General features: G+C 42.2%; 1 annotated feature.

Annotated features, from left to right (window-relative positions):
- Positions 1,367-1,868: an enhancer, noted in NCBI's record as "H3K4me1 hESC enhancer chr6:116049821-116050322 (GRCh37/hg19 assembly coordinates)". NCBI's record gives its function as "activates a minimal SCP1, AML or CMV promoter by ChIP-STARR-seq in naive H9 embryonic stem cells {active_cell/tissue: H9 hESC(naive)}" and the evidence as "EXISTENCE:reporter gene assay evidence [ECO:0000049][PMID:30033119]".

Genomic DNA, 6,414 nt, shown 5'->3' on the forward strand with positions numbered 1-6,414 from the left:
TGTCAGATTGGATTAATTTGAAAGCCTTATCATTGAGCTCTGAAGTCTTTTCTTCTACTTAACTTCAACTTGATTCTATTGCTGAGACTTTCCAGTGCATTTTGCAATTCTCTAAGTGTGTACTTGATTTCCAGAAGTTGTCATTGTTTTTATTGATGGTATCTATTTCACTGGAGATTTTTCCATTCATATCCTGTGTCATTTCTTTGATTTCTTTAAGTTGGACTTCACCTTTCTCTGGTACCTCCTTGATTGGCTTAATAATTGACCTTCTAAATTCTTTTTCTGGCAATTCAGAGATTTTTTTCTTCGTTTGGATCCATCGCTGATGAGCTAGTGTGATCTTTTGGGGGTGTTAAAGAACCTTCTTCTATCATGTTACCAGAATTGTTTTTCTGGTTCCTTCTCATTTGGGTAGACTATGTCAGAGGGAAGATCCAGGACTCAAGGGTTGCTGTTCAGATTATTTTGTCCCACAGGGTGCTCTCATGATGTAGTTCTCTCCCCTTTCCCCTAGGGATGGGGCTTCCTGAGAGCTGAACTGCAGTGATTGTTATTTCTCTTCTGGATCTAGCCACCCAGTAAAGGTACCAGGCTCTAGGCTGTTACTGGGGAGTGTCTGCCGAGAGTCCTGTGATGTGATCCATCTTCAGATCTCTCAGCAGTGAATACCAGCACCTTCTCTGGTGGAGATAGCAAGAGAATGAAGTGGACTCTGTGAGGGTCCTTGTGATACAGAAGTGCTGGGAAGGGAAGAGTGTGGTCCCTTTAAATGATACAGAAATGGGGAAGAGAAGTGCTGGGTAAAGGAGGGCATGGTCCCTGGCTAGGGCTGTATCCCCATGGACCTAGGTGAGGACAGGCATTTCCTGCCCAAATGTTGCATTTCCTAAGACTATCCTGGCCTTCCATGCTTCCATCCTGTTCCTATAAATACCCAAGACCCTAGCAAGGCAGAGACAGAAGCAGCTGGACATCAAGAGAAGCACATGAGAGGAGGAACACATGGGTGGATGGACATCCAGAGAAGCATATCAGCAGGCACTGGCACACCAGCAGGCCACAAACTGGCAGAATGATGCAGAGGTTGGTTGGAGAAGTTGGAGGAGAGCCCAGGCTGCTGAGCAGCCTGACTTCAGGGGAAAACCTTCCCACTCCATCCCCCTTTTGGCTTCCCCCATCTGCTAAGAGCTACCTCCACTCAATAAAACCTTGGACTCATTCTCCAAGCCCAGGTGTGATCCAATTCTTCTGGTACACCAAGGCAAGAACCTGGGATATAGAAAGCCCTCTGTCCTTGCGACAAGCTAGAGGGTCTAATTGAGCCGGTTAACACAAGCTGCCTATAGACAGCAAAACTAAAAGAGCACCCTGTAACACATGCCCACTGAGGCTTCAGGAGCTGTAAACATCCACCCCTAGAAACTGCCGTGGGTACACAGCCCCGCAACCTGCCCGTCTATATGCTCCCCTAGAGGTTTGAGCAGCGGGACACTGAAGAAGTGAGCCACTCCCCCTGCCGCACATTCTGTGAGGGGGACAAGGGAACTTTTCTTGTTTCACTTGGTTGTATTTTTGTTAAGTGCACTAGTTTTGTGTTGGTTGGCCTCCACCAGGAGGTGGCACCTACAAGAGTGCATCGCCTGCAGTAGCATAGGGAGGATCTGGTGGTAGGTGGGGCTTTGTCTTTGGCTACCAGAGAGGGTAGATGAAGACCATCAGGTCGGGCAGGGTTAGGGATGTCTGAGCTCAGACTCTTTTTGGGCGAGGCTTGCTGTGGCTGCTGTGGGGGATGGGAGTGTGGTTCCCAGGCCAATGGAGTTGTGTTCCCAGGGGGATTATGGCTGCCTCTGCTGTGTGTCACCCAGGTCACCAGGGAAGTGGGAGAAAGCCAGCAGCCGCAGACCTCACCCAACCCCCATGCCATCCCCCAGCCACTACAACCATGCCCCACCAACAGCATCGAGTTTATTTCCAGGCAGCTGGTTAGCAGGGCTGAGAACTTGCCCCAGGCTACCAGCCTCCCAGCTGAGACAGCAAGCTGACTCACAATTCCTCGCTGTCCCACAGAGCCTGGAGCGGTAATCTATCTGCTTCAGAGGGTCTGTGGATTCTCTTGTCTTTCCTGGCAAAAGTTCACAATATGGGTCTCTACTTAGTGCTCTGTCCATCCAAGTAGGAGCTGCAAGTTAGTCCTGCCTCCTATCCACCATTTTTACTTTGCATCTTATTTTAACTAAATAACTGTTAAAACTATCCATTCTAGCTTTCTTCTATTGGCCAATGAGTGTCTTTGGATCCATCCTGAAGATCAATAAACAAAAAGGGAACTAGTAATATACTATAGTAGTACTGTAGGCATGACTCAAGACCCCCCCATCATAGCCCATTCTCAGTTGCATCTTGATTTCTGAACATAGTATCCAGAAAAGGCTTATAATTAGATCTTCAAAAGACCTAAGTACTACAAAGATTATGGGAGTACCCATTTATAAGTCAAAATAAAAGTGATAAGCACACCATATAGTTCAATTCAATCTTAGTTTTCATTATTATTTTGACCCTTTTCAAATATAAAATATGATTTTTTTCCAAAAATTACTTTGGTATTTCCACATGGCTAATAGCACATGCATATACTTAGTTCATCTATTGGATAATCATTACACTCTGCAACCCCTCCCAAGTTTAACAGTTCTGGCAAATCTCTCAGATGCTTTGGTGGTAATTTTTGTTAAATGAAATAATTTACTGTAACAACATACTCTCCAATTTCATTATTTGTTTAGTGTAGACTTGAAAAGAAAATTTTATAAATCTGGATGTGAGCAAATTGTTCATAAATGAGAAGTTTTCCCAGAACACCTACAGTGGTGCTTTCTGTTCTGGATGGAAAATGCTCTAATGTAACACGTAAAGTGACCTCTTACTAGTGATACTCATATTATGAATGTCTACTTTGACAGAAAGAAATGAAATTTGGGTGAGTCATTTCTAAGGATGCTGTTTTGGGGATTAATAATGTGGCTGAATGCATTAGGTACAGGCAATGTATTTTGCTTGAACCTGCTTCACCTTCTTGGGTCAGAGGAATATGTATCTCTCATTTACTCTGGCTTCTGTTCCTTCTCCAAAAGTTCAAAATCTAATACAGTTCCCTCTGCATGTTTCTCCTAAGGCAGAAGCATTCCACAGCACTACCTCATGTCGTTCACTTTTAAATTGTGATAATTTCATGCATTTAGAATTCAGAGTTATCCTGATATTGGAGACATCTCTTATGATGTATTCCTACCATGCAGCTGTGAATTATCCCACAGTGTTCTCCAGCACCCCCTCTCCATTCTCTCCTTCACCATATGGAGCAATGACACAAGCAGTAAGGAAACATGAGTCAGTTACATTTTGATGACAACTCAAGAGATGGCTCAAAGCTCCTAGCCACACTTTCTCCTTCCCAAAGGTAGCACTTTTGCTATCCCAGAGGGCATATATCTCTCCATCAGCTACGGTTTCAGTGCACACAAGGGTGGTCTGTTGGACAGAGCATGTGCAGCTCTAACACTTCACCCATCTGGGATCCATATGGAAAATATAATCCACTAAGAAAGCCACTCACCCTAATTCATAATATCCAAATTAGCCAAAGACATTTGGGAAGGGCATATCAGACCTCACCTGCAAGAAAACCTCTAGACAGAGTCCTTTAACTTATGCATAATATATCACTTCAGTGGTAAATATTAAGTTTATAAGTAAAATATCAAACTACATTATCAAGCAGGCCATAACTGATGGCTAGACTTGTTTCCTCAGAAAACTCCTAATATAGTTCCATGTGAGTGTCAACATGCTGGTAATAACTTGTTGGGATACTTAGTTTCTCTGAATGATGACTTCTCCCAGGTCAATAGGTCAGTGCAACTTCTGTCTTCCTAATGTAGAGGCTGTTCCTAGTGATTTCTTGTCTGTCCAAGGATCTTGGTGCCAGGACATAATCTTTAAGTCAAAACAGTGAAAGGTTTGGTGATATGACTGATTGTTTATTCTCTACTTATGGAAACTGATGCACCCCCCACCCCTGCATCCAAAAAAAATGTTTGTAATTATCTAAGGTTTCTTAGCAGAACTGGGAGTGGGATGTATGGGGTTAAATAATGGCCCTCAAAAAGATATATCCATGCCGTAACCACGGAATCTTTACATGTTACCATATTTAGCAAAAGAGTGAATATTAACTTCTAAGGTAAAAGATGCAATTGAGGTACGGATTTTGAGAGGAGGTATCATCCACCCTGAAGTATATAAGTAGGACTTAAGTGCAATCACATGTATCCTTATAAAAGACAGATGGGGGTAGTTTTGACAGAGAAGAGCAGGAAGCAATGTGACCATGGAGGCAGAGATTGGAGTGATGAGGCCATAGTTCAGCAACACTGAGGCAGCCACCAGACACTGGAAGAGAAAAGGAGCCAATTCTCTCCTGGAGCCTTGGAGGTAGCACAGTCTTGCCAAAACCTTGACTTCAGACTCTGGCTTCCGGAACTGTGAGATAATAAATTTCTGTTGTTTTAAGGCACTAAGTTTTTATGATTTCTTACAGCAGCCACAGGAAATTAATACAGGGGATAACAAGTCTTTACTAGATTTGTGTCCACATCTTGTTCAGTGATATTTTGTTCCATACCCTTTAAGAGTATTAGAAAAAACATTTGACCAGTGACAGCATAGACATTACCCTTTGAGGTAATTAAGAGTTCTCATGTTTTTAGAAGACTTGCCAACACACAATTGCCATCTACAATTAATTACCTCATCCAAATTAGCCAGTACTTGCAAACAGTTTATGCTGCCTGATGGGGGATAGTGGGTGGGGACATCAGTGATATGTAGAAGCATCTCCAAATGGAAAAATTAGTCTTAAAGGAGATTTGTTCTTCCTTTTCCCTCTCTGAATAGAAATACATTAAATGAAACAGAGAATCACTGGCTTTCTACCCAACAGGCAAAGACACCTTCAACTTGGAATATCATGTTGTCTTCAGACATCAGTAATTCTCTTCAGCCTTTAGAAATATACAAATATTGCAATTATGGCAAATTTCTTCAAACCACCACAATCAGCAATGACTGAGCTACAATCCATTAGTTAACGGTCATCCATCCTGATGCATTAAGTCATTGATCTATGACAGGGTGATGCTCCAAAATTCCTTCCCCCAAGGCCATAGAACTCTATCTGTATGGTACTGCTCCCCTTTCAGGCAGCCAGAGTCTACTCAAGAATAAAAAATGCAATCCCCACCCCCACCTCACAGCTCCTTCTCTAGCTCTCTCCATTCTTCAAGTGTCAGGAAGTCACCCATGTCAAAACTGCTGATATTTCACATCCATCCCTTCCCTCCACATACAACCTGCATGTGAAAATATATTAGGAAGTTCTTCTGGATCGCCTGGCTTATATTTAACTGTATACATTAGTACACAGGGTGGATATATGTAGTTTGGGCAGATACCACTTAACTGCACATTGCCAATATAAAAAGTATAACGTGTGACATAGGTGGAAATTTGTCCCAATTAGTACATGTCTTCTCAGGTGTGCAGAACCTATGTAAAGCTCCACAAAAGAGTCCCCAATTTGTCTAAGCTGCAGAGGTCAATGCCAAATGTTGAAGTGGATTAGTAGAACAATGGCATCAAAGTGTTGGACACTCGTTACTCTGACTTTTCTAAAGACCAAAGATTCTGTTAAGAGCTGGTTTAGACTCTACCACAATATGACTTAAGTGTTGTGAAAATCTTGATAAGAAAGGTTTTTAGGAAGCAAGCTTTAACGTCAAATAAATTAAGCCATCTATATATTGTGGGAGGAAGGTCTGCAGATCCATTGTTATTGAAACAAAAATCGAGCTAGAGAAGAAAATAGAACAATAAATTAAAATGACATACAAGGAAGGCTAAAAACCCTATTCTGATTGCACCATCTGCCACAAATTTAGAGCAGTGTTTTCAAACTTTAGTGATTATACAAATTACCTAGGGACCTTGATAAAATGCAGATTTCAATTTAGTATCTGGGGTCAGGCCTAAGAATCAGCATTCTCAGCAAACTCTCCGGGGTTGCATACTGCTGGTCTGAGGGCCACACTATGAGAAGCAAAGCTTTATAGCATGTGCAAAGGTCTGAAATAATGTACTACCTTTTTCCAGTTAATTATGACAGCACATATGCTGCTCTTGGGTCTTGATTAGTTCAGTGCACTCAACTATATGCTTATCTACAAGCCTAGAAGAGCAATGTTGAAAGCTGATGCCTTGGGCCATCTGTTATTGCAGATTCCATATTATGCTGTACTCTTTCCATTAGAAGTTGATGTGTTACAAGATCTCCCTGACCAAGCTCTCTGGTTG

This window comes from Homo sapiens, chromosome 6 (genome assembly GCF_000001405.40).
Source record: "Homo sapiens chromosome 6, GRCh38.p14 Primary Assembly".
Classification (NCBI taxonomy): domain Eukaryota; kingdom Metazoa; phylum Chordata; class Mammalia; order Primates; family Hominidae; genus Homo; species Homo sapiens.